The sequence below is a fragment of the Homo sapiens genome, chromosome 10, assembly GCF_000001405.40.
Source record: "Homo sapiens chromosome 10, GRCh38.p14 Primary Assembly".
Lineage (NCBI taxonomy): Eukaryota > Metazoa > Chordata > Mammalia > Primates > Hominidae > Homo > Homo sapiens.
In genome coordinates, this window is record NC_000010.11 from 76922260 (window position 1) to 76949716 (window position 27457).

Consider the following 27457-nt stretch of genomic DNA (forward strand, 5'->3'; position numbering starts at 1 on the left):
TAGAATGGAGAAGTTATTATATCCAAGGTCACAGAACCAGTTAGCAGCAGAACCAGGATAGTTGATATCTGCTGTTTTCTGTTCCTTTTTAACTCCTTCTATGCATAAGAAACCCATTCCACAGTGTTTGTTGGGGGTGCAGGGAAGAAACTCCGCCCCCACCCTGGAAACAGAAGTGGCAACATGAAGCCAGGCATCCTGACTTCACAGGGCCGCTGATGGTCCTGCATAATCCTGGCCACATCATCAGTTTAGAGATGAGTCTGTCCTCCTCAATCTAGGGCCTGTCCGTATTCTCCCCAGGACATTATGTAAAAGATGGTAAAGGTTCTGTGGTTGCAAAGTCAGGAGTCTGCAGGTGTGGGGCTACTGGCAAGCAGTTAGCCCACCATGGGGTGAATGAAAACAGGGCAAATGAACCAAGAGGTGGAGAGAATGAGATAGAGCTCTGTCATTGTTCAAGTTCCTGCACACAAATGTGCCTAAAACCAGAGACATTCCAGTTATATGTCTCTGTTTTTACTTAAGCCTTTTTGCATTGGATTTCACTTGTGCCAAAATGTCCCAACTAGTACAACAACTGAGAAAAATCTCCATTCTCTTCGCGGTGAAATGATTCATGCTGGCCTGATTTTCTACTGAAACAAATGACTGCATCTTCATTTAAGGTTTCCTGCTTGTCTCCAGTGACCAGGGACAAGACCTGGCTTAATACTCTCCTTGTTTCTTTCTATTTACAGTAACTAACAGTGACATTTTTAGCGGTACATTTTTTTAGAGACTGTCTTTGATTAGCACCTTTGCAAGTTGACTCCACCCACTGAATAAAGTGCCCCATCCTTTTTAGAGTTTACATTTTGGGTCCAACCCAAACCAAAGCAAATTAAACCAACCAAACAAACAAAACTTCTCTATAGTTATTTGCCCATTAAGATTCGTAAAATATATTCAGCTCTTAGACAAGTCTCACACACATGAAACAAATATATTTACAGGACTTGTCTCTCCAAGCAGACAGTCTCTTTCCTTAGAATTAACTTAAAGATGTAGTCCCAGCTATTCGGGAGGCTGAGGCAGGAAAATGGCCTGAACCCGGGAGGCAGAGCTTGCAGTGAGCTGAGATTGCACCACTGCACTCCAGCCTGGGCAACAAAGCGAGACTCCGTCTCAAAAAAAAAAAAAAAAAGAAAAAAAGAATTCGCTTAAAGAGCTTACTGTGTAAGATGTTTCTCAGAAGGGTTGGTTAAGGGGAGGAAGGAAGAAAAAGACAAAGCTAGTAACAACTCAAACACACCTAAAACTACAGATTTGGAGAGAAACCTAATATTCACCCGGTCTAATGTCTCCGTTTACCCAAGAGCTCATGGTATCATTGCTTTCTCCACAACATCTCAACTTCTCAGTTTTACCTTATCTTAATTCATCTTACAATTTAAAGATAAGGCCAGATGCAGTGGCTCATGCCTGTAATCCCAGTACTTTGGAGGCCAATGTGAGTGGATTGCTTGAGCTCAGGAGTTCAAGACAAGCCTGAGCAACATGGTGAAACCTCGTCTCTACTAAAAACAAACAAACAAACAAACAAACACAAAAAAATTAGCTGGGCATGGTAGGGTGTGCCTGTATTCCCAGCTACTTGGGAGGCTGACGTGGGAGGATTGCTTGAGCCAGGGAGGCAGAGGTTGCAGTGAGCCAAGATTGTGCCATTGTACTCCAGCCTGGGTGAAAAGGTGAGACCCTGTCTCAAAAAATAAAATATAATGAGACATACTTGCTTGGCCAGTGTGGATCAAATTACTTATAATTTTACCTCCACTTTGGCCTAAGCAATTGTACTTCTAAAAATATGTGTACAGCCATAATTTCCTTACATTAAAAATTTGGCTGCCAGGGTCTTCATTCATAGGTATTAAGTAACAACATTCCACTGAAAACAACATGAATGTCCAATTTTAGGGAAATTGGTTAAGTATGCATCCACTAAAAATAATGCAGAAAAACATTTCACGACAGAAAAATGGTCATGATAAAATGTTTGTGAAAAACCACAGGTAACATACTGACATGTATGATCCATTTTTTTGAGGGTAAAAGTATTTATATCTATGGAAATAAGACAAATATGTCAACTTTCTTATGTCTGAGCAGTAAAATTACAGGGAATGTGCATTTTCTTTTTGGTTTCTATAATTGCTAAATTTTCTAAAATAAACACATTTTATTTATGTAATGAAAAAAATTTTTTAAATTATAAATTGATGTTAAAGACCCTGAAATCTCGAAACCTCATGTGATCTCTATGGGTTGAGAGCAGCTGATGAACATGATGGATGGACACAGCTGGTTCATCTGTAAGGGTCTGACAGGTCTTTGAACATCCACTTGATTTGGCAGTTAAGGAGACTGAAGTTCTGAGATGGAAGTGATCAGGCCAAGGTTACAAAGCAAAGGGGCTTTAAAAGAACAGGGCCCAGAGAGAGTTTTCAGGCTTCCTAGTTCTCTGTTATTTCAGCCTCCCACCATCTTGTAAGAGCTACTCAATCTCAGAGCAGAGGCCATTTACATAAAGCACACATGGGCAGTGAAGAGCCCAAGAAACCCACAATGCCCCATGCACATAGGGGAAGGGAGGAGCAGTCAGAGCTGGTTTCCAACACAGAGGGAAAGTGGCACCTGCTGATGCCCATCCCTGCTCCCACCAGCCTTACCCACTTCAGAAACGCTGTTCCCCCTCTTCCCTCCCAACCCAGCTCCTGTCGTTTCTTTACCTCTTCCAGGACGTCTGCCTTGAATAACTTCTCACATTTAGTTACTTTATGAAGATGTTTTCCTCTGCCTTTTTTTCCATCCCCTTTATTCGTTATTTTAAAATGTATGAATTATTACTAAATATATACAAATTACTACATATTAATGTTTAAATGTTGTTAAGCATCTTTAATTCTTCTGTTTTATCTTCATATACCCACTGGACTTCCCAATTTCAATATGGCACAGCTTATGCTAACCTTTCTTTATTGTTTTTATTTATTCTTAATTCCTGTTCTGGGACCCTCCCTCTTTGCTGCCACCACAAGAGGACAAAGGCTGTTTTGCCACTAACATGGGATCTCCTCTTTCATGATGGATCACATTTCCAGTAAACTAGAGGCTTACTATGCCAGGGAAAAGGCAGATATATACATTACAAGACAATGATATCAAGGGGATACTAATAAAACACACAGACATCCCCCCTCATGCTGCCAAGACTATATACCATTTTGTTTCCATTACATCAATTTTTTTCTCCCCTTTTGCAAGCATTAATCAAAGAAACGTGAAGAGCTCATTAAAGTGATAGATTGACTGAAAATGTAACCACTTTTTCATTATAAACAGTTTCTTTATGTTCTTGGTGCTATGGGCTTTGTTTTTCAGCATTTGTCATGTAGTTCAAATGTCCTTTTACATTTAAAATACCAAATGCCAAATGGGCCCCAGTTGTTTGGTTTAGTATGAATTGATGGCCAGCACAGCAGAAACCAGAACTCCAAAATCACGAGCAAAGTATAACATCCATATCTTAAGCACACAGAAAATTAAGTAGCTGTAAAAGATGGGTTTGCCAAGTGATCCAAGGCCTTGCCATGAAATTCAGGAAAGCAGAATCGCATCAACAACTTTCAGCCAGCTATCTCTGAATGGTTCTAGAGACAAGACGCCTGGCCCAAGATAGCACCAAGGTTCCAAACAGTTGATGGTTCTTTAAAAGAAAGAATCTTTTTTTCTTAAGTGTTGAAGTGTTTCCTGTACATACGTTTATGCTGGCAGATGAATAGGAAACTGGGATCTTGGATCTTGGGGTCAGGCATTCCCACATACATACACACACGAATCTTCACTAGATGAGGGTTTGATGCTGGTTTGACTCTGAGCATCTCTCTGTACAGCGTGGTCAATAACTTTTGACCACTACCTGAAATAAGCCATACCATTTGTGGTCTAGAACTTGAACACTGTGGCTAGACTGAATGAGTTTGGGTCCTGCCTCTTTCTGTTTCTAATTTGTGATCTGGGGCAATTTATTTAAATTTTGTGTCTCAGTTTCCTCATCTGCAAATTGGAAGAGGAAGATGTCATGAAGATTGAATGAGTTAATAATAATAATACAGGGAAACTGCTTACAACAGCACCTGGCACAGAGCATGTACTTCATCAGTACTAACTTACTATTATTTATCAACAACAGGGTTGTAAGCTGACAGAGAAAACAAAACACATGGGTTTTAGTCCCAGGTCAACTCCTACCTCTCTGTGAGAATGTAGAAGGATTCAATGTCTTATCCAAACTCAGTTCTCCCATCCATAAAATGAGGTTGTAGCAATGTCCCAAATCCCTTTAGATTACCGTGCATCATACATAATATTGAAACCACGATAATTCTGTGTTCAGCTACTCAATATTCAGGAATGTCTGTGGAGTCATTCATGGGGTTGTTCTTTTAAGGAAGTGGAACACAGGAGCCCTCTCTTCCAGAATCCTATCACATTGTCGGTATCAACAAACATATCAACATTTCATACAAGAGATGCGCACCAAATACATTAAACCACAACAACCATGTAGCTTGCACATCACAACTCCAGGTACACATCATATCCTCTCTCAGGAGTAGCCCCTAAGGCATGATCCTCCCTCCAGGAGCCCTGCATCCTTTCCATTTGCTAACAGTCAAATCATTCATTTGCTGCTATGCGATCACAGTCGTGGCAATGGCTGTGGCCCTTGGTGTCTTCATCTGTAAAATAGGAATGACTCTAAGGCCCTCTCAGCTTTGAGATTTATGTCTCTTTCATGACCCCAAATTTTAAACGTGATCTCCAACAAAATAAGCTAGCAAAGGGAATCCAGAGGATCTCCTTACAGACTCCTTCACAAGCTCTAGTGTACATCCAGATTTTTTTGATTCAGTTTTATACCTTTGCCCAGAGGATAAAACTTCACTTCTCAAACCAAGGAGAAGGAAGTACTTTCTCCAAAGTTGCTCTAATGGCTGAGAAGGCCATAAATAACCATTTATTAAACAAACACTATGGGCTAAAGGAAGAGAAACCACCGCAATTAGGCCCCTGAGGCCTGCAGGCACAGTACATAACGATGGGACTCTCATAATCCAGGCAATATATAACCAGTTGTTCCATTTTCTTGAAGTTATCTTCATAATCAAGATGCTATCTCGGGCATTGTGGGCTTTAAAACTATTTTTAATTTTAATTTAAAGAGTAATTAAAGAAAGACAATGGATATGCAGGATAATAAAGTAAGCGATTAGCAGCATGCAAATGACATAGGCTTAATGATAATATGGTTCTAGTCTCCAAACAGCTTGTCGAGAGAAAGCCCTTTCTACATGTGGTTGTTCAGCTAATGTGTCTCAACCCACAATTACAACATTGCTGACACCATTAACCAGTGAAACAACACCACTTCGCGAAATCCTTGTTGTCTCATTAAAAAGGAAAGGGTCAGGTAATTTACCAACGTTGTATGTCTAGTTTTGTTGTTGGTAATTAGCAAACATTACCCAGCATAGACTCCCACTGGGAACTGGAGGAACTTTGTGAAATATTAAAGAAGAAAGCCTTTATATTTCACTGGAAAATTGAAAAGAGGTGCAGTAATATTCTCCCTGTCATCTTTTTGCATTTAGGAAAAGGAAAATGCAACTTGGAACTCTTTAATTTCAGGAGAAATATTCAAAATGCATTGGGAAGTCACTACCCACATTAAGACCCTGGATCACCATTGTATACTGGCAAATAGAATCTGCATCCCTGTTTACAAAAGGGAGTTGGAGATGGGAGGACGGGAAAATTGCAAACTTTATCTTTATTGCTCTTACTTATGTTATTTGAATTAATCTCCTTGAAACAGAAGAAAGGAGATATAAAATTTTCTTTTTGAAATGCTACGGGACTTAAATAAGCACCAGAATTATTTATTCAGAAAAATACACACACACACACACACACACGAACACGCGCGCGCACACACACACACACACACACGCACATACACACACATATTTAGACCTAAAGAGAGAAGAAATATATTCCAGGGAAGAGACTTCCTGCCTCCATGCTTCCTAATAGAATCTTCCCCACATTGGAACTCAGACCCCGCCCCCAACACTGGCCAATGCTTGGTGTGTTGTCAGGGAGTAGAATGGTATCTTATTCTTTAAATGGAACTTTTGGAACATAAAACACATTCCAATAAATGTGAGCAGAAAATTATGAATTCATTAAACTACTTTGGTATCTTGTGCTATATATAATATTTATATTCCGACTACTGTAAAATATGCTTTAATATCTTTAGGCAACTATAAGGACTTAAATATTTATAAAATGGCTAAAGATAAAGTATGGCCCTCTTATTCCTACATACAGATGATGTAAGGCATGCAATCAAAGACAATAACACTCTCTGCCCATTTGTCATCTTAAAGGAGCCGATCAACGCGCCATCCCTCGTGTGCCATCTACATAAGAGTTGTTGCCGACACAGGCAACTCCAGAGGAGTTTGCGCCTTAAAAACTACCTAGAGTGCTATACTTCATAGAAAACAGGGCTTTCTGAAAATGGAGACAAAACAATAAATTTGCAGGCAAAACAGCTCCAAGAGGGGCTTCAAAGTACTGCTGTATTTATCTCTGGGACATGAGGGAACAGGAAGCATTTTGATTTAATATTTCATAAGATAGAGACAATTGCTTCCTTGCATGGTATATACTTAATGCTCACAGAAATGAGTTTTTTTTAAAAAAGTTTCAATATCTTAAATGCAAATAAATAAATAAATAAGGAGACACACCTGCATAATAGGAAGGGCTTCCTTTGGAAATATGGAATAGACCCATATAATCCCAATAAAGAGAAAGCCACCACGAATTTATAATCACCTAGGGGCCTGTTAAAAGTAGTTTTATAGATTAAGTGTGAAACCTCAACCCTGATGTTATTATTATTTACCTTCCTTGCTTGCCTTTAGGCCCATGGCCTGATTGATTTTCAAAATTCTTCCATTTCCTATGCTGATTAGGTATTCAAAGAATTGTTTGTGCCCACCTGCCTTGACCTCTCAAATGGACACCCCCTGGTTTATTTTCCCAGCTCCCACTAGCTCCCTGCTGGGAACCATGTGGAAGTTTGTGAATTTCTCATGTATCTTGCATTTTCACAATGCCCATTATATGCTTTCCAAATCTCCTAGCAATCATGCCTAGGAGAATGATTTATTCTATAAATAAATTTCCAAGATAAATTTCTATGGAAATGTAAGCTTTAGTAAATCAGCTGCCTGATACAAGGATCAGAGATGGTTTCCTTGAGTAAGTAAGGGGCTAGGCTGGTGTTTCTCAACTTGGGCTGCACGTTGGAATCACCAATGCATGCCTGCATCAATGTCTAATTTAATTGCTCTGGAGTATGGCCTGAGCATTTCAAGAATGTTAAAAGTTCCCCAGGTGAGTGCAATGTGCAGCTAAGGTTGAAAAACAGTGGGCTAGTTCAGAATTAAATCCACCCATTTAAGGGCAACTAATCTTTGACAAGGATGTCAAGAACACACAATAGGTAAAGGACAGTCTATTCAATGAATAATGATGTTCAGAAAACAATATTTACATGCAAAAGAATAAATCTGAACACTTCTCTTACAGCATATACAAAAATCAAATGGATTAAAGACTTGAATGTAAAATCTGAAACCGTAAAACTCCTAGGAGAAAAAATAGGGGAAAAGCTCTTTGACATTGGTCTGGGCGATGATTTCTTGGATATGACACCAAAAGCACAGGCAACAAAAGCAAAAATTAAAAAGCGGGACTACATCAAACTAAAAATCTGCACAGCAAAGAAAACAATCAACAAAGTGAGAAGCCAATCTACTGAACGGGAGAAAATATTTTAAAACCACCTAGCCAATAAAGGGTTAATATCCCATCTATATAAAGAACTCATATACTCAGTAGCAAGAAAATAAATAACCTGATTAAGAAATGGGCAAAGGAACCTAATAGACATCTTTATAAAGAAGATATACAAATGGCCAACAAGTAGATATGAAAAGGTGCTCAATATCACTAATCATCAGAAAAATGCAAATCACAATAAGATATCACCTCATACCTGTTAAGATTGCTATTATTGAAAAGACAAGTGATAACAAGTGTTGGTGAGGTTGGAGAGAAAAGTGAACCCTTGTACACTGCTGGTGGGAATGTAAATTGGTACAGCCCTATAGAAGACAGTATGAAGTTTCTATAAAAAATTAAAAATAGAACCACCACATGATTTAGCAATCCCACTTCTGGGTATATATCCAACAGAAATGAAATCAGTATCTCAAAGAGACATCTGCACCTCCATGTTTATTGGAGCACTATTCACAATAGCCAAGATATAGAAACCACTGGTGTCCATTGACAGATGAGTAGATAAAGAAAATATGGTCTGTGTTGTGTATGTACCTGCACATATATATAATGGAATATTATTCAGCCATAAAAAAGAAAGAAATTCTGTCATTCAACAACATAGATGAACTGGAGAACATCATGCTAAGTGAAATAAGCCAGTTATAGAAGGACAAATACTGTATGATCTCACTTATACATGGAATCTAAAAAGTTGAACTCATAGAAGCAGAAAGTAGAACAGTGGTGGCCAGGGACTGTGGTGAGGGTCAGGGGGAATGGGGAGATGTTGGTCAAAGGATACAAACTTGCCATTATAGGATGAATAAATTCTGGGGCTGTAATGTAAAGTGTGGTGACTATAGTTGATAGTGCTGTGTAGTACACTTGAAGTTTGCAAAAAGAATAGATCTTAAGTGTCCTCATGACACACACCCGGGCACACACACACACAATAGTAACTATGGGAGATGATGGATGTGTTTATTAACTTGATTTTGGTAATAATTTCACAATGTATATGTATATCAAATCATCATGTTGTAAACCTTGAATATATACAACTTTTACTTGTCAGTTGTATTTCAATAAACCTGGAGGGGAAGAAAATCATTAGGGTAGACAAAACTCTTAAATTTGTATATAAATATTTATGTGTCTATGAAGAGGTAGGAGGAGGGTCACAGAGAAGATTCATTATTAGCTATTTAAAGGGGTAGGTACAAGACCCCTTTCCCAGTTGAGAACTAATATGCTATAGGTTTTCTGGCTGAGACCCAAAATTACTGTTTTAAGAAAAAAAAAAAAAAGAGGCAAAGGAGGGAGGCCAAGTGCCATCTGTTGACTAGGTGGAGTAGCATGGGTCCTGCTCTGGAAGGGTGTCACTTCACCAACATCAGGGCTCCTACCACAACCAAACCCCAGAGGTTGGAAGTGTATGAGGTTTTCTGTCAGCGAGCTGTCCCAATCTCTGCTTCAGAGAGCAGCTGCGTTGCATGGCGCCATGCTAGCCTGTCTATGGAGGGGAAGCGCCCCATGCTCACTGTTCATCTGCCCTAGTCCTTCCTCAACTCCTCTGTAGGCTTTTGTTAGTCTACCTTACCTGGTCTGCTCACCTTCCAAAGGTGTGTTGGTTTCTATCATCATCTATTTTCTATGCATATTTACAGACAAACAGATCAACAGTAATTCTGGCTGCTAGGTACAAGTGGATAATCCTAACTTATGATTTGTTAATCTGGGAGTAGGAGGGGATGAAATAAAATAGTAAAATTGTAATAATAATAACAAAAATAGCTAACATTGCTTGATTTCTCCCATCCTAGGTAGGAAGTGCTTTAACAGCCATTCATTCAGGGTTGCCATGTATGGTTGTGAAGGTTGGGCACTACACAGTAGCTAATCTAAGTGGGTACCACTCATATCAATAGGCATTGTATATTTGCATATTTATGACAATATTTTTTCCCAGCAGATGACAGAAAAGTGTATTGTTCAAACATATTAGTAGATTATCACCATTTTTTTCAGCAGATGAAAATAAGGTGTCTTGAGAAAAGAGTGACTTTTTCTGGCTTACTTAAAGGTACTGTATGGACAATAGAAAGTCCTGTATCTCATTGAATTCTCATAGTCATTTGATAAGCCAGGTGCATTTAGTATTCTTAGTGAGAAAATTGAGATAAAAAGAGGTAAAGTAATTTTCCCAGGCCTAGTAAGTGGCAGATCTGGGCTTCAAACCCAAGCTGTCATTCCAGACCCATGTGTGCCATGACTGAACTTGACTGCAAAGTGCTATTTCTACAGCCTTTGATGTTTAATAACCTTTCTGCAGCCATTATGTCTTTGTATTCATACACTGATCCCTCGGTGTTTTGGGGTGGGGTCATTTAATATATAGATATATAGATGAGGAAATGAAATCTGGAATCTTTATTATGTCAAATTGCTCATGATGGACAGAACCAGGATTTAAAAGCTGTTCCTTAACCCTCCATGACTGCATCATTACTCTGACAGCCATGTTTGTGATTCACTATCATGAACTAGAGCAACAAAACACATCTTCCAAGTTCCTCCTGCTCCAGTCTACCGCTGAGAGGAATGTTCATTTCTACATGGCCAGGGAAGCTCTCAGGAAGCATTCACAGCTCCCTGGAGCAGAAAGCAGAGATATTTTCTGCCCTTTGTTGAACTTTGGAGGTCTCAGTCCTACAGCCTTGGGCCCTGGGTTGGTACTGTGTAATAGTACATTCAGCGAGGCCAGTCAAAGGTTGAGGGCCAGGAGCTATTAGTAAAGGTTAAGGGAATAGTACAGTTTATATTAGAGACAACCTGGCCATCTGATAAAGGCTCCTCCAGACAAGTGCAACATCTTTGATCTCTGTAACCCTTGTCCAGTGCCCAGTTGTCAAATGAAGGGAGACTAAATCCTGGAGGGAAAGTGTAGGTTTTTAATACAGGTATTTGGCTGCTTTATCTCATTTGAGGGCACGTTAAGAGAGAACAGGCTGCAAACAACAGATAGCAGGATTAAATCATGTATTCATGTATCCATCCCCTCCACAAACCTCTACTGAGTGTCTACTAGGTGTGAGGTACTGTGCTAAGCATTTAGAAAGATTTCTGGCAGTTGGCGAGCATGAAGAGGTCAGCAAAACAATAGAACAGGCTCTTCTTTGGAGGATCTACTCAGGTTAACAGTGCACCCACCTACAAGCATTTCCTTTGACATAGTGAGCCCTTTAAGTACCTTGGTTATACCATTAGTACACAAATAGCCAGGTGACCCTCTGTGAAAAACACTCGGCCTTTCCTGTTTCTGTGCCTTCTGTTACTCAGCTTCAGCCCTTTCCACATGCCTGTCGGAACCTTTATTTATATTAATCACACTTATTTTCAAATTCTGGTCCCTTTACTCTGGAGTCTTTCCTGACTACCACAGCCCAAAGCCACCTCTGCCTTCTCATAACACATTGTGTGGCAGCATGCATGGGACACTGAAAACATCTGGTAGAACATCTCTCCTGGAGATCTGTAACAAGATGCTCAAGGACTATCCTGCTTTTCTGGAATTCAGAAAATAATTTTCCTCCAGACCATTCCATGAAGTATAATTGAAGCATTTAAGGACTAGCCATATCCTTAAATGTTCAATAAATCCAGAACTAAAGTCATTTATAAATCAGTTGGCTTCTTTGCAGTGCCACTTTTTCTTTCTTTCTTTCTTTCTTTTTCTTTTTGCTTGTTTGTTTTTGGTTTTGTTTTTGAGATGGGATCTCACTCTGTTACCCAGGCTGGAGGGCAATGGCGCAATCTCGGCTCACTGCAACCTCCACCTCCTGGGTTCATGTGATTCTCCTGCCTCAGCTTCTGGAGTAGCTGGGTCTACAGATGTGAGCCACCACACCAGGCTTATTTTTGTACTTTAATAGAGATGGGGTTTCACCATGTTAGCCAGGCTGGTCTCAAACTCCCAACCTCAGGTGATCCACCTGCTTCGGCCCCCCAGTGTGCTGGGATTACAGGCATGAGCCACTGCATCTGGCCTCAGGGCCATTTATTTCTTTATTTTTTTCTTGAGATGGAATTTCGCTCTTGTTGCTTTTAAGAAAAGAAGTAAAGTTTTTAAGACTGCACATGAGCTATTGCCTATAGAGAATAGGTGAAGACAAAAATGCACTGAATAGCTGGCTAGATTTATCTGCCAGCTTGAGGCATGTGTGCTATCTTCACAGCAGGTGTATTGAATGAAATGGCTCACACTCTGCACAAGGAATACACTGAAATGTTCCAAGCCCTGTATCCTTAAGTATGTGTGTCAAAGTCATTCCATACAACTTATTTTATGTTTCTGTCCCTTTTGCCTGTAGACCCCATTACTTCTATGACAGCATAGACTATGGAGACAACAGGGGCACTAACCTCATGCATAGGATGCAAACCAAACTGACATGCAGGATAAGGTAGTTGACCTATCCTTATCCAGAATTTCATGAGGTGTCTTAGAGGGTCCATGGGATTACAAGACTTCCTTTACTTCTCTCTGATTCTACAGCTGTGGTTTCCCCACTATAAGACAATTTCTCTGGACCATTTTCTGAGCCTAGGCTTTGGGCGCTACAGTGGTCTCTTCATTCTCATCTGCTGTCACGGAAACTTCCGCTTGAGCATGGAAGGAGTAAATAAAACCTGAAAATGTTATTTAAGTGTCTTCACAAAGAAAGTAACAGCTAGGTCTCAAATATTCCACTCTCTTCCTTACAGCTCCGAAGTCCCATCTATATTCACAAGAAAAACAGAAAAGAAAGACTCCAACAGTCATACTGTTCACAGAGACAGGCTAAGCACAGTGCTTCACATTGCCCCCAGATTTACTCATTTGTCCAGTGGTAGTAGCAAGAAAGACTGAAGCCAACAGAATCCTAGTATCTCTCATTGTTGGAACAGCTAGGGTCAAGGGGCTCAAAAAATGGGGATTCACAGAGACAAGAACCGTTGAAAACAAACTTCAGCCCCTTAGGTGCAAGGACCAGTTTAGAAGTGAGGCTGGCACACCTTGAGCACTTTCATCCCCTTGAGTGTTTGTCCTGGGGGTGCCCCCATGACCCTTGAAAGTACATGTATAGCTTCAGGCCCATTCTCATCAGGATAACACTTGCCTTTTAAGAGACAGGCTGATGTGCCGAGAAAAGCATAGACTTTGAAATCAGATGTTTGGAGATCAACTCCATGTGCCCTTGACTAGCTATAAGGCTATGGGAAAGGTACCTAATTCCCCTGAATCTCTGCTTTCTCAACTGTAAAATGAAGGTGGTAACTCTCCCTCAGCAGGTTGTCAGGGAGATTAAATAAGATATTACATAGGAATGTGTCTGGTGTATGGCTCACCTGAAAAAAAAATTACATTTTCTTAAAAAAGGCATTAACCAGGCACACAAATTTTGAGGAGTAAACTGGCATGTGAGAGCCAGATGCTAAAACCATAAGTTCAGTCCAACCCCAAGACCACCCAAAATCTGCTTTCTGTCTCTGAAGCTAAGATTTCCCTTCACGACAGTTGTCACAAGCCGGGCACAGCCTGAGTGGGGACATGAATCTGCTCTGCATCCATTTGGAAGGAAAAGATGATTCTGTCTGTTTTTACTTTTTCTTCTGCACATCCACTCTCCAAGAAAGTCTTTCATGCATGGAGGGCATAAAACCCTCCATGAGTTCAAAAAGTAGTCCAAGTTTCTCAGTCTCTTATTATAGCTGCTGCTGTTGTTTTTCCTTGTTTCTCTTGCTAGGAATACATTACTAGAATAGTAAATGGCAGGGTTAAAGAGGATCTCTCATGTGATGAAATATGCTATATAGGAAAAATTCTCTTAAGTTGAAGTCATTTAGAAAACAGCTGCAATTGCTGCTTTGCTGAAATACATCTGCACCTGAGATTCTTGTGATGAGATTCATCTTGGGATGTCCACGGAAGAAATGTAACAGGGCAGGCCCCTTTCTGTACTTGAGATCTGCTCAGAGCCCTAAGCCAGATTTTCTTTATTGTTTAGTAAGCTCTTTTAATGAAATGTACTACTCTTATTATAGAGGACTCAAGATAAGATCTAAATCACAAACCAATAAAAGAAAATTATTGGGGTAGATATCTAAAGTTACTACCTAGAGGCTACTCCAGTGTGGTATTTATAAATCTCTAAACAGTTAAGTATAATTGTCTTTCTGGTTTTTGGGACGGAAGCCAACAGCAGTTTCAGTTACAATGGAAGAAAAATATTTTAGCGCTGAGCTTTGTTCGTTTAGTGGGTATAAAGAGAAATGGCTTCTCCCCTATCACCATTTCAGAATTGAGAGAGAATATTGTGGTAATGAAATGTTATATGGGAGCAGCTGAAAAAATTCTTCTCTGACTTCAAGGAGGGGAAATGTGTGTGAGGATACATGTATAGGTGCGTCTGCAAGAAACAGTGAGCAGCCTGGGGGTCAGGAAAGCCAGGCTTGTAGAAGTGGGAGAAGGCAGAGCCCTGGGAAAAAGGCAGGTGTGGAAGGGTGGTGTGGAAGTTGAAGATGGGGTGGTCTGTCCAATTAATGGAAAAGCCAGATCTGCAGCTGCTCACCCCAATGCCGTCCGCTCCCCATCTTTGAACACAAAGACAGTGCCGTTCAGGAAGGACATGAATGCTTCCACTAAAAGACTCATGACCCCAATCCTGACAAACACCATAGCTCTCCCTCTGGAGTTACAATGCAAATCATATAAAACACAGATCCCTATGTAATAAAAATCAAGAACATGCTGGATATCCTTAGTTATAAAGGACCACAGAACTCATCTCTCTACCAATCTCCCTCCCATCACAAAGAGCGTGTCAGTAACTCTCCTTTAGCAAAGAGACAGTCAGGGATAGGAGGCTCGCTGCATTTGCAGGCTGTCCATGCTGTTCTGGAAATATCTTCCTTATGTTGGGCTAAAATCCTGTTCTCCTTAATTATTAACCATTGGCCCTGGTTTTTGTCCAATGGAGCAGAAGATTAAATGGCCCTTTAAGCCTGCTGGCTTTGTTCTCTTAACCACTTGGCAAGTGACATGTTGTCCAGGCACTGCCCCATTCTGGCCGTCCTCTTTACAACATTTTTCTGTTTGTTTGTCAAATTTCTGCTTCAAATCTTCACAGCTCTTGACACATTCCCTCCTATCCCAACAAAGATGAAACAGTCACTGCTCAAAAGAAATGATGCTTTTATCACCAAGGTTTATCTAGCCTGTCTTTACTGATCATTTGAAAATTAACATGCAGAGGTCCTCAATGCATTCTGTCCTGTGGATTTCATCCCAGAGTTCCACTTTAGGAAGGCCCTTTTCGTTCTGCTTTTTGTCATCCAGTAATTTAGAGATCCTAATCCACACTGTCTCACACAAAGATAAAAGAGAAATCACATTTTCTTCTTTGGAACAGTAAAAGACATCTCAGACTTTAGGATAGGGAAGGTGTACCCTATGCCCCCAATTAATGCTATCTCTCCAAGGACTGCTGCCATACTTCCAAAGAAAAATGTCATTCCCTACTTGAGGCTCTTAACCTTTGTTGAAATGTGGAGAAAGGAGGGTGTCCGCTTATATGTGGATGTTCATTTAGTGTAACTATAGCTTCAGGTCAAAGAGGGCGGGAGGAAAGCTGTGTGTGTGTGTGCGTATGTGTGTGTGTGTTTGTGTGTGTGTGTGTGTCTGTGTGTCTATAAAGCATAAAATATGGAAAAAAGGCAGTGGACATATGTCTTGGGTTTGAGATCTTGGCTCCTCCCTCCCCTGGGACATTCGGGACAGGCTCAGCTTTTGGTTCTCCGGCTTCTACCAAAGTTTTCCTCTACCCTCTCTTTCTGAGATGGTATACTTCTGTCCTGCAATTCTCTTGCCTCTCTCCCTCTCTCTGAGGCTCTCCTTTGCTCCTAGAGCATGAGCAATGGGCCAGATTGCTAGAAGCAAACTTTTCCTGGATTAAGGACTTCATTTCCACCCTTCAGCTTTTCATGCCCATCTGGATTTTCCACTAAGTCCCCGTGGAAATAAACCATGACTAAAACCCAATCCTCCCAACACTGCTTTCTCCTGCAGCCTGTCCCTCCACTCTGCCATCCTCTGACCCCCAGAAGGAAACACACATCCATGCAGACTGTTTTGCATGTACAGTGACTCCTTCTAGAACCTCCCATTCTTTTTCCAGTCCAAGGTTTCAGGCTTCCATCTGGATAGCCACAGTTCCTAACCAGAGTCCTTGCATCTTCTTCCTTTCCACTCCAAACAATGCTTCACAGGGCTGCCAGATCCATCTCCCTAAAGCTCAGGTCCAATCCCATCACTCTCTTGCTTTGAAACCTTCTGTAGCTCCCCAGTGCCTAGTGAATTATTTACAGCTTCCTAACTCATAAACACATAAAAAATTATTTACAGCTTCCTAACTCAAGAAAGAAAAGAAATTCCTCAATGCCCAACCCACATTTCAACTTCATCTCTCCCTGCTGCCTTATATGTACCCTGTATTGGGGCCAAATTGTACTTGTCCCTGTCCCTCTAACACATCCCCAGGAATCTTTGCCGTCACTTCCATTCGCTCCGTCTCAAGCCAGCTCACTTTGCCTCCACCTGTTATCTTTTTCAAGCATGGAATTAATTACTCTTTTCCTATAAATCTTTGATGACTCCCCCAAATCCAAACCCTTAGCAAGACAAGTCTACACTCTAGGACTGCACCATCCAATATGGTAGCCACTGGCTATGGATCACTTTAAATTTTTATATTTGTTAAAATTAAATTAAAAGGAAAAATTTAATTCCTAAATTTCAAGTGCTCCATAGCCACATGCATTCAAGTCATCCACAGATGCCACCTCTTCTTTTTTTTTTTTTTTTTTTTTTTTTTTTGAGATGGAGTCTTGCTCTGTCGCCCAGGCTGGAGTGCAGTGGCATGATTTTGGCTCAATGCAAGCTCCGCCTCCTGGGTTCAAATGATTCTCCTGCCTTAGCCTCCCAAGTAGCTGGGACTACAGGGGCGTGCCACCAGGCCTTGCTAATTTTTTGTATTTTTAGTACAGACGGGGTTTCACTGTGTTAGCCAGGATGGTCTCGATCTCCTGACCTTGTGATCCACCTGCCTTGGCCTCCCAGAGTGCTGGGATTACAGGCGTAAGCCACCGTGCCTGGCCGATGCCACCTCTTCTTGAAAGCCTTCTCAATTCCTCAAAATACCTAAACCAAGGATCCCTTTGTGTTCCTCTATTTCTAGCCTCGTCCTTGTTTCCTTGGACTGTCATTGTTTATGGGGATACCTCCTCCACTCACCTGAATCCTGCAAGCATAGTGAGTGGCTGAATCCAAGCAACCTTTGGTCACCTTTGTGTTCTGGGCCTTTAGAGTGCCTGATGCATGGAGAACAGCCATTTATTCCTTTTTCTTTTCCTTAGGAGTTACCTTTCATGGAAGGGTAAGCAGGAAGCAACTACAAGATCATCATTTCAAAACAATATGAAAGCAGAATGGGAAATGCCATGGCATGCTCCCTCTTTTCAGGTATGAACTGAAGCAGCTCAGAGAGCGGACATTGCCTCCCTCTGCTCACCCTTTCTTCCAAGATCAGACTCAGTTCTCATCTTTTTGAACCACAGGGAAACAGTCTGGCAAGAGCCACTGTTGTACCAGCTGATTTAAATTGAAATGTTTTCCCCAGATAAATGCGTGCTAAATAATACACCAGCTCTCCAGCCAAAGGGAAGTGACAGGCACTCTGTAAATAAAGGCACTTAGTTGCTGGTAAAGAGCTGTAAAGTGGTTCTGAGCTGATGTTTGCTGACCAGCAAGAAGCAGCTTCATCTGCTTTATATAATTGTCACTGCAGTTTTGCCTGCTGTATATTAAAACTGCATCTCATAGACCCAACTGTCACATCGGATATACCATCTGGCTTGGGATATGCCACCTTTTCTGTAATTGTTTTTGACAACAAGCCATCACATCTTGGGTCTTTTCAGAAAGTGTCTGGTCCAGAATCCCTAGGCTGGGTCAGTTCTGACACCATGTGGGCTAGAAAAGTGACATCAAAAGGGAGTGTGAAAAGAGAACAGAAGAGAAAAAAGAGGCTTTGTTAGTCTAGGAGCCCTAATAACATGCAGTGGCAGCTGTCCAATGAAGGCTCTACTTTCTCAATGTGAATGCACATTTTTCATGCTAAATTATATCATCTTAGGACAGCTTTCCATAGGGTTGCATGCATATTCTGGCCCAAGAGCATGACATTTGTCCTGAGTCCACATTTCTACCCAGTGAGGTTCTAGAGACATGGAGACAGTTCTTCAGACAATGCAGAGCATGAGGTTCCATAAAGGACCATAGAATACATAAGAGGGAAAGCAAGGTGTCAGTGGCCAGAAATCTGTGTAGTTATCACTCAGAGGAAGTTAGATTTGTTTTCCAAAATGATAAGAGTAACATGAAATCCCCAGCACTTTGGGAGGCCAAGGTGAGTGGATCACCTGAGGCCAGGAGTTTGAGACCAGCCTGGCCAACATAGTGAAACTCTGTCTCTACTAAAAATACAAAAATTAGCCGGGTGTGGCAGCACGCACCTGTAATCCCAGCTACTTGGGAGGCTGAGGCAGGAGAATCACTTGAACCCAGGAGGTGGAGGTTGCAGTGAGCTGATATCACACCATTGCATTCCAGCCTGGGCAACAGAGAGAGACTCTACCTCGAAAGAAAGAAAGAAAGAAAGAGAGAAAGAGAGAAAGAAAGGAAGGAAGGAAGGAAGGAAGAAAGAAAGAAAGAAAGAAAGAAAGAAAGAAAGAGAAAGAAAGAAAGAAAAAGAAAGAAAGAAAGAGAAAGAAAGAAAGAAGGGAGGGAGGGAGGGAGGGAAGGGAAGGGAAGGGAAGGGAAGGGAAGGGAAGGGAGGGAAGGGAAGGAAGGAAGGAAGGAAGGGAGGGAGGGAGGGAAGGAGGGAAAGAAAAGAAAAGAAAAAAAATGGAGAGTAACATGAAATCCTTTTTGTTCCCCATAATCCCTATTCCCTTGGAGCTTGATCATGCCAAATGCCCAGATGAAGGATGACAAAAGTATCTCAGGCCAGTGGGCACTCCAGTTAGTCAAAAGGGTCTCAGATATAGAAAAGCAGGGAAACTCAGCTCACAGAGTCAGCTCACAGGCTGGGAGGAGCCCAAGGAGTGGAGTGCTGGGTCTGCAGCCAGAGGTGAGCTCTGGGGAAGGAGCGATTTCTCTGTGTTGATGGCTCCCACTGGACCACTGCCTTTACAAGGTTAGAGTATCACCAGAGAACAGTATTCAAAAACAAGAGAGGAGCAGACAGACAGACAAGAAAACAATGGGACATAAAGTCTTGGTGGGCCTAGAGCTTTGACACTCTCTCTTAGGGAGCAGAACAGACTGCTGGCTAGTGAGAGACAGATGCTCCTCTCCACTGCTGACCAGGGGTCTACGAGAATCACTGCTGAGCATAGAAACACATCCTTTGCCTTCTTCTGTCATTTGTGCGGTCTTAGTCCATTTGGGCTCCTGTAACAAACACCATAATCTGGGTGGCTGATAGACAACAGATATTTATTTCCCACAGTTCTGGAGAACGGAAAGTTCAAGGTCAAGGCGCTGGCATGTTCAGTCTCTGGTGAGGACTTTCTCGCAGTGTCCTCACATGACAGAAGGGACGAGGGGTCTCTCTCAGGCTTCTTTTACTTTATTTATTTGTTTGTTGGTTTATTTTATTTTGTTTTAGACAGAGTCTTGCTCTGTCACCCAGGCTGGAATGCAATGGTGCCATCTCGGCTCACTGTAACCTCCACCTCCCGGGTTCAAGTGATTCTCCTGCCTCAGCCTCCCGAGTAGCTGGGATTATAGGCACCCGCCACCATGCCTGGCTAACTTTTTTGTATTTTTAGTAGAGATTGGGTTTCGCCATGTTGGCCAAGTGGTCTCAAACTCCTGACCTCAGGTGATCCACCCGCCTTAGCCTCCCAAGGCGTGAGCCACCATGCCTGGCCTCAGGCTTCTTTTATAAGGACACCAGTCCCATTCATGAGGGCTCCACCCTCATGACCTAAACACCTCTCAAAGGCCCCACCACCTAATACCATCGCCTTGAGGGTTAGGATTTCAATGTATGTATTTGGCAGGGAGTAGGTGGAGGGTACAAAAACATTCAGACCATAACTGTGTGCATGTGTGTATACAAAAGAAAGAGTGCCCTTTTTTTCTTTGGAGGAAAAATAAGCTCCCTTTCTCTTTCCTCCATATCTCCTGTCAAAACCTATTTTTCTTGCTTATCCTGTGCTATAAAAGAATAAAGAAGGCTTTTGGGCACCGGGGAGTGGAAGAATTGTTACCAGTTTGGCCTTTATATAGGATCTAAGAGGCTGGGATGAGGTTTAAGAGAACTGGAAGGAACAACTATATCAGATGTGTATGTAACTAAATTATACACTGACATTCTAATCTGTGGCCCTGGAAAATCATGATCGAGTTTGGAGGAAACAGGCATGTTGGGGAAAGGGAGTGTTTTCCTGCCTCCTCCTGCTGGCTTCTGTCTGTACTTAAAGGGAGAATCATTGCTTTCACTGTTTTCCTTTCCCCTTGATGGTTCACTCCTCCCCAGGAGAGGAGGAGCATCTACCAAGGGTTGGTCACATCCTGTTCATGTGAAGGTTTACTGTGCTTTAAAAGGGCACATTTGAGTTGCCTGGGGATCTTGTTGGAATGCAGATTCTGACCCAGCAGGTCTGGGATGGCCCATGAGGTTCTGTAACTCTAACAGCCTCCCCCAACAGACACCCATACTGGGGCAGGGCAGAGAGGACACATATTGAAAGTCAAGGGCTTAAAGGCAGGAACCAAATGCCGGCTTGCCTCTTTCAACTCCTAGAAGGTCAGCTTACTGTCTTCTCACATCCTTTCTCGCCTGTGCTACCCGGGCAGGCCGCACAGGATGCGGGCTCTACCTCTTCAGGATGCAGCTGGGAGTAAGCTCAGAGCCTCTCCTAGGCCTTCACATGTTGTGCTGTCCTGCGGGCACAGCTGAGCAGGTGGATACCAAGATTTAGATTTGGGTGTGGCAGGGAGGACGGTGGCATGGAGAGGTCAAAATTAGGCTTCAGGCTGTATCAGGGTGATGTCAGAAGGACAGAAGCCATTTCACATGCACCACCAAAGGGGAAGGTTCTCTTAAGCTTGACCAGAAGCTGCTGTGAATCTCAAGATCCTCAGAGAAGCCCCAGCCCCTCTCTCAGTCTGTAGCAGTGAAGACACTGGCTCCCAGAAAGCTCATCTGATAGAAGATTTGAACCTGGGTCTGCCAGGGTCTGGCTGCAGTTGCCTCCAAAGAATCAAAGCCTATCTTTCTCCTCCACTTTCCAAATCTCACCCCAGTGCCCATCTCCCACCAGCTGACTCTAGCCCAGAGCCATGCAGGGAAGAGGATTCCAGGAACTATTGTTCCTGGCTTTTCTGCAATGCTAAGCAAATGTTAGAAGGCAGTGGTGGTGATGTCAAGTTGACAAAAAATAATGTAGCTCACAGGTCCAGGATGCATGATTCAGCTGAGCTTCTAGAAAGCCTGGCATGATGGGGAGGAGGTCAGACACTTGCCAAGCTATCAATAAGGTGATGCTTCATATCCCAGTAGCCATAGCTCTCATGGGCTGTGCTCCTACACCCTTCCATCCTGGACTGATGGGATTCTGGTCCCCATCAGGCAGCCAATGCCACCCTCTGGCAGCTCGTCTGTAACAACTATCCTCCAATTCATGGCTAGCCTACACGGAGGTGTCACTCAATGGAAAATGCTTTGCATCCTATCCTGCCAGATCCTGATTACAGAGGTCATTTTTTATGAAGGTTTTGCTGTGTTGCCTTTCTGAGACCCCTAGACATCTTTACTTGTAACCACCTGCCCAGGGTCCCAAAGCAAATGACAGGAAAGACTAGGGGCAGAGTAGGAAGGCAGACGTGTGTCACTTAAGGCTGCTTTGCCTCCTATAGGAAAATGTGTGGTCTGACAAGTGTCACCATTTGCTAAATGACTTTTAGTGTCCATAGAGTTGCCACTCTCCAGAGATTACCATCCCTTGGTCAGCAGAGTCCTAGAGGCGGCTCTAACAATAGCAAAGCTTCATTCCCATCCCAGCTCAATGGCAAAAACATATACTGGAAGGAAACGGTCAGAATTGTGCAGCCAGCTTCTTTTCAGTGCTCTGACATTTAGCTGATGACACTGGTCATGAAGCCACTCCTTGGGAAAGCTGAGGGGGTGGCTATTTAAAGGCTTGTTTATCCTCTGGAAAGGCAACCTAGTCTGTGTGTGGGTGACCAGGTCTCAAGCCTGCATTCTGGAATGGAAAGAAGAGGCAGCAGATGCCCCTTTGAAAGCCATCATGGTGACCGCAGGTTTCACTGCCAGGCAGGCTGATGTGAGCCTCTTTGAATTACTGAGTGAAGGATATCCCTCTTGCCAGCCCCTGTCCCCTGCAGGCACAGCAAAGAAGTATTACAGGCTGTCCTTACCTTGGGAATTAGCCTGCAAGACTCCGATGCTGTCATCAAACTGCATAGATTTGATGTTGAGTGACGCCAAGATGCATTCCTTGTCCTGCAGCGAAGTATCATCAATATTATTCTGATTGGCTGACAGGATAACGCACATGTCACAGAGGTTGATGTTGACAGCCCTTAAATCAGCCCGACTTAATGGCGTACCCTTTGGCATAGAGGAAAGAAAAAAAAACAGAGATGGGGGGAGAAAGAGACAGAGAGAGAGAGAGAGGAGCAAAAGTGAGAGGAGAGGGAAAGAGGAAAACAAATTAAAGATTGAGTCGGAGCTTTGGGAAATTATTTAACAAGTATCTTTTTTATGCCTTGACATTAAGCTGGCCTAACTACATTCAAGGGAATAGGAGCTGTGTGCTAATCTAAAGGGTAGTCGGTGCTGATGGCAGCATTTTAAGCTTGTTCTCAATACTCAATCAAGCTATTACTAACAAACGCGGGAGAGGAATAATGCCAGGGTTCTACATCTTCTTCCTGCCTGGAAATTGTCTTGATTTAAGTAACTGTCCTGTGGCAACCTCTGGCTTTCAGAATGTAACAAGGGGGTGGGTTTCAAATGCCTGTTTATTTAATAGCGGGTCACTTCTGTCTCAGGCAAAAGACAGCAGTTCCAATGCAGCCAAGGAGAAATGGCCAGTGAGCACAGAGTGATGAGGTGGGCCTGGATGTGCGGCTCAATTTGGAGGCTATGGATGGAGTGGAATTAATGTGTGCAATGCAAAAGAGATATGGAAAGGAGTTAAGCTTCAGATCATATAATTTTATTGCATATTTTCAGCAAGAAAAAAATACACAGGGAAATGACCTAATTGTCCAACAACATAGGAATGGAGAAATATACTTTTGGACATGCACACAGTGAAAATGTATGCAGGAGGTAAAGAGGCAGAGCTGGCTCTCCATGCAGGCATTGGTTTAGAAGCCTAAGATAGAGGGGGAAGTGAAAAAAAAAGTTCTACAGCAGTTAAAAAAAAGTATAGTTTCATTTATGTAAAAAAAAAAACCCACAAAATAAAATTACATATATATAAATGTATGTAAATTTGGAAGGAAAGCACAGGAAAAATAGCCATTACACTAATAATGGTAATTCCCTCTGGGAAGGGAAATAGGATTCGTGGGGGTGAGGGGAAAGTTTGCTTTTCACTTTATATACTTCTATATTGCTTGAATATTTTATAACAAGAACATATTTGTATATTACAGGTACATTTAAAAAATAAATAAGCCAGTAAACAGATTTTTTAACATAAAAAATAACAACAAAAGACAGTGGAAAAATCCCAGATCCAGGAAGTAACAACAGAGTCCGGGAATGCAAGCATAGGGAAAATAGAAGGGTTAGGTTAGGACAGGGCCATGGCCTCCACATGCTCTGTGTCTTCAGGTGAAGCCACAGCAAAATCATCAGGCCACCCCATGCCATAGCTCCCCAGTGGCCACGCGGCATCATTTTGGGGCTCCTGTCTGGCCACCAGCTTCATTGGTCCTCTAGCTTGAATCTAGCTTCCTCTTTGCCTGTGTGGTGACCTGAGTTACCTTCAACTCACTGATTGTGTAGACCAAGGGTTTGCCAACTGTCACATATCTGGGAATGTCCTCCTCTAATCTCCCTTTCTGGAGAACTGGCTTTGGAAAGAGACTTGGCTGCAGAGATGGAGCCTATCTACCCTCTTTTATGAGTCACTGGTAGTCATGATTCTATTCTCAGGCCCTAAAATATTGTGCAACTATGGAGGAAGGGGCATTTAGCACTGTGGTTGCTGCTGAGACACAACTAGTTCCAAGCTCTGGAGCAGCGTCTTTTTGAGAGAAGGAGAATGCCCTCTTCTCCTGTGATCTCTTGGTACAAAACAAGTCCAACCAACTTCCTGAATCATTTTGCCAGTGCATAAGCTTCAATTGCCTGCATCCATATTCTTTTAATTTTCATCTTGTAGGGAAGCCAGCCGTAATTGTGATATAAGATGATCCCTGTGCAGTTGTACACACGTGATTTCAAACTACAAGAAATACAAATGACATACATAGAAATCGCTTATGTTTCTCTGGGCTGGCCCTATAGGCAGGGTACTGTTTAACCAATAAACTCTGTGAAGACATAGGTGAAGGCCCATTTTGTGAAAATCTATTGTGCTTGAGTATGTTAAATTTTGGAGGGTTTGAAATGACCTGCAAAGATGACAGCTCATTCATATACATGAAGAAAGATGAGTGAACGTGTACAAGGGCACACAGAGCCGGGCGCGGTGGCTGATGCCTGTAATCCCAGCACTTTGGGAGGCCGAGGTGGGTGGATCACCTGAGGTCAGGAGTTTGCAACCATCCTGGCCAACATGGTGAAACCCTGTCTCTACTGAAAATACAAAAAAAGTAGCCAGGCATGGTGGTGCATGCCTGTAAACCCAGCTACTCAGGAGACTGAGGCAGGAGAATCGCTTGAACCCAGGAGGTGAAGGTTGCAGTGAGCCGAGATCGTGCCATTGCACTCCAGCCTGGGCAGCAAGAGTGAAACTTGGACTCAAAACAAACAAACAAACAAAAACAAACAAACAAAAAAGGTCACACAGGAGGAAACATACACAAACACACAAAACACACACACAAATACCAAATATCACACATATACCCATCTCTCTCCACACACATACACACACAGACTCATGTATCCTGGTAAAATAATAAACCCTTTACAAAGACACTTTCAGAGGTCAGGGGACTATGTGGAGGAGCACATGACAGAAAGATAACCATGGAATCATATAATCAAATCGACCATATTTCTGGAATGAGCAAAGCATATATATGCTTATGCTCTCCTCTGTGTATGACTGTTTGTCTATAGGTGACTATTTTCAACTGCCTGTGCTCACTAAGGCAGTGGGTTTTTGGCCCAGCATCCAAAAGATAACTGTCCGATCTTTTTCTCACTCCTTTAAATATTTATTGAGTCCCTATTGTGTCAGGCATTATGTAAAGGCACATGGTGGCATCTAATGAGTAACATGTACTGCTTGTGGATAGATTCTTGTGTGTTCTTTAATGAATTATATTACTTGGCTCTTTTTCCCCCCATTTCTGAGGTTTTGGAAGCTGATAACAGAAATAATACATTTTAGCTTTGTAAGTGGGGGAAAACCCAGACTTCTTAACATGTAGAGAAATCCATGTTCCTCAGTTGTTTCTTGTTTTGTTTTTGTTTTTGTTTGAGGCAGGCTCTTGTTCTGTTGCCCAGGCTGGAGTGCAGTGGTGCTTTCACAGCCCACTGCAGCCTCCACCTCTCAGGCTCAAGTGATCCTCCCAACTCAGCCTCTCAAGTAGCTGGAACTACAAGCACACGCCACCACATCAGGCTAATTTTTTTAACTTTTTGTAGAGAAGAGGTCTCACCATGTTGCCCAGGCTGCTCATGAACTCCTGAGCTTAAGTGGTCCTCCCGCCTCAGCATCCCAAAATGCAGGGATTACAGGGATTAGCCACTGCACCTGGCCCCTGTTTCTCAGTTTCAGGGATGTGAACTTACAAGAAAAATATTTGGAGGATAAGTGAGATTTGCATGAATTTGTGATGTGGAGAATTACATCAAATGTTGAAATGCATAATTCTCTACAATGTTTTGAGAGTTTGTGGACTATGCATTCATTATGATTAGGAAGTAGTTAATTACATGACTCCTAAATCCCATATCCTCACACTAAATTGTGGAGTCCCAGACTGTTTTTTCAGACTGAAGTCCTAATGTTTTGCAGTCAAGAATATCATGCACACATGCACACACGGACACACACACAAACACAACCATGAACACGTTGCTGGACTTCTAAATGAACAGGGGTTGGGGCTGAGCTGCAGAAGGAGTTGGCCTTCTGTACAGCAGAAATAAAGAACTCTGTTATTTGCATTTATTTAGTTAAAAACAGAAGGTGGCACAGATCAATGTTTCTTCAAGCATTAAAAATGCCATAAGTATAATGCTATAAATAGTTCTGTAAGCAAATCCTTACTATAAACATCATAATATAACAATGCTCTAGGTTTTGTATAGGCAGGAGTGAGAGTGTTTAGACGCTGATATGGTTAATATACTTGATACAAGCTAAACTTCATCCCTGATGAGGGACTGAACTTGGCTGCAAATTCCTTTTAATAAGGTCTCCCAGGGTTTGGATTTTCCTTGACAGAGCATAGGGGAAGTGCTGAGTCCTCAGGCCCATACCCAGATGAAGAAGCACAGGCATGATCAAAGCTACAACTATTATATCCATCCGGGATTTTCTTTTGTGAATGAAAAGAAGAAAAGGCATCAATAATGTGACCTTGGACTTACAGGCAATATGGACACTTTGGGGAAGTTATGAAGCGTCTCCCATTCCCGCTTGAGGTACTCAATAGAGCCCACAAACACAATGTGCTTGAGCTCATGGTAATGAAAGTTGCTGGCACGGAGCGGCATCACCAGGTTCCGGAGGCCGATCAGGGCTGAGCTGACGTCGCCAAAGATGCAGACCACGACATGGCCACTCAGGACGGTCATGGCAGCTTCACTTCGAGTCTACAACAGGGAGAAGTGGGTAAGAGTCAGAGAGAAGACTGCATAGGGCTGTTGTAAGGAGTGAAATAAATCATTTGTGCAAAGAATCAAGCAAATATTTGCTGAGAGCTTACTATGTGCTATTATTTTTATTTCATCAATGTTATATACATGCCATATAGAGCTATAATTTGAGCACGTGTATATGTATTATATTTTTGTAATAAATCTGTCCAAATGTATAGCCATACACATTGCTACCTTCTTTGACAAAAGATTTAAGAAAGGTATGCCATAAATATGTGTGAGCAGACCTTCATAATAATTTTCAGGAGGTAAAATAAAAAGGAAAAGGAATATTTATGCTATTT

At 42.2% G+C, this 27457-nt stretch overlaps 1 protein-coding gene and 2 long non-coding RNA genes across 55 annotated transcripts in view; 2 read left to right on the forward strand and 1 right to left on the reverse strand.

Annotated features, from left to right (window-relative positions):
* The window catches only part of KCNMA1 (potassium calcium-activated channel subfamily M alpha 1), a 768207-nt gene that overhangs the window by 52658 nt on the left and 688092 nt on the right, over positions 1-27457 (reverse strand). For all 53 annotated transcript variants that reach the window (NM_001271518.2, XM_017016222.3, XM_024447990.2 and 50 more), the window contains 2 exons: positions 26883-27107; positions 22514-22706 (listed from right to left, as the gene is read on the reverse strand). In NM_001271518.2, coding sequence (NP_001258447.1) covers positions 22514-22706; positions 26883-27107 — 418 coding nt within the window. The remainder of the gene's footprint in view (positions 1-22513; positions 22707-26882; positions 27108-27457) is intronic.
* KCNMA1-AS1 (KCNMA1 antisense RNA 1) overlaps positions 1-27457 on the forward strand; it is a 90550-nt gene that overhangs the window by 34216 nt on the left and 28877 nt on the right. The gene's annotated exons all lie outside the window — the stretch shown is intronic.
* LOC124902466 (uncharacterized) lies at positions 7705-27204 on the forward strand. The gene is made up of 3 exons (XR_007062207.1): positions 7705-7978; positions 17419-17524; positions 26707-27204. It is a non-coding gene; the product is annotated as an uncharacterized LOC124902466 (long non-coding RNA).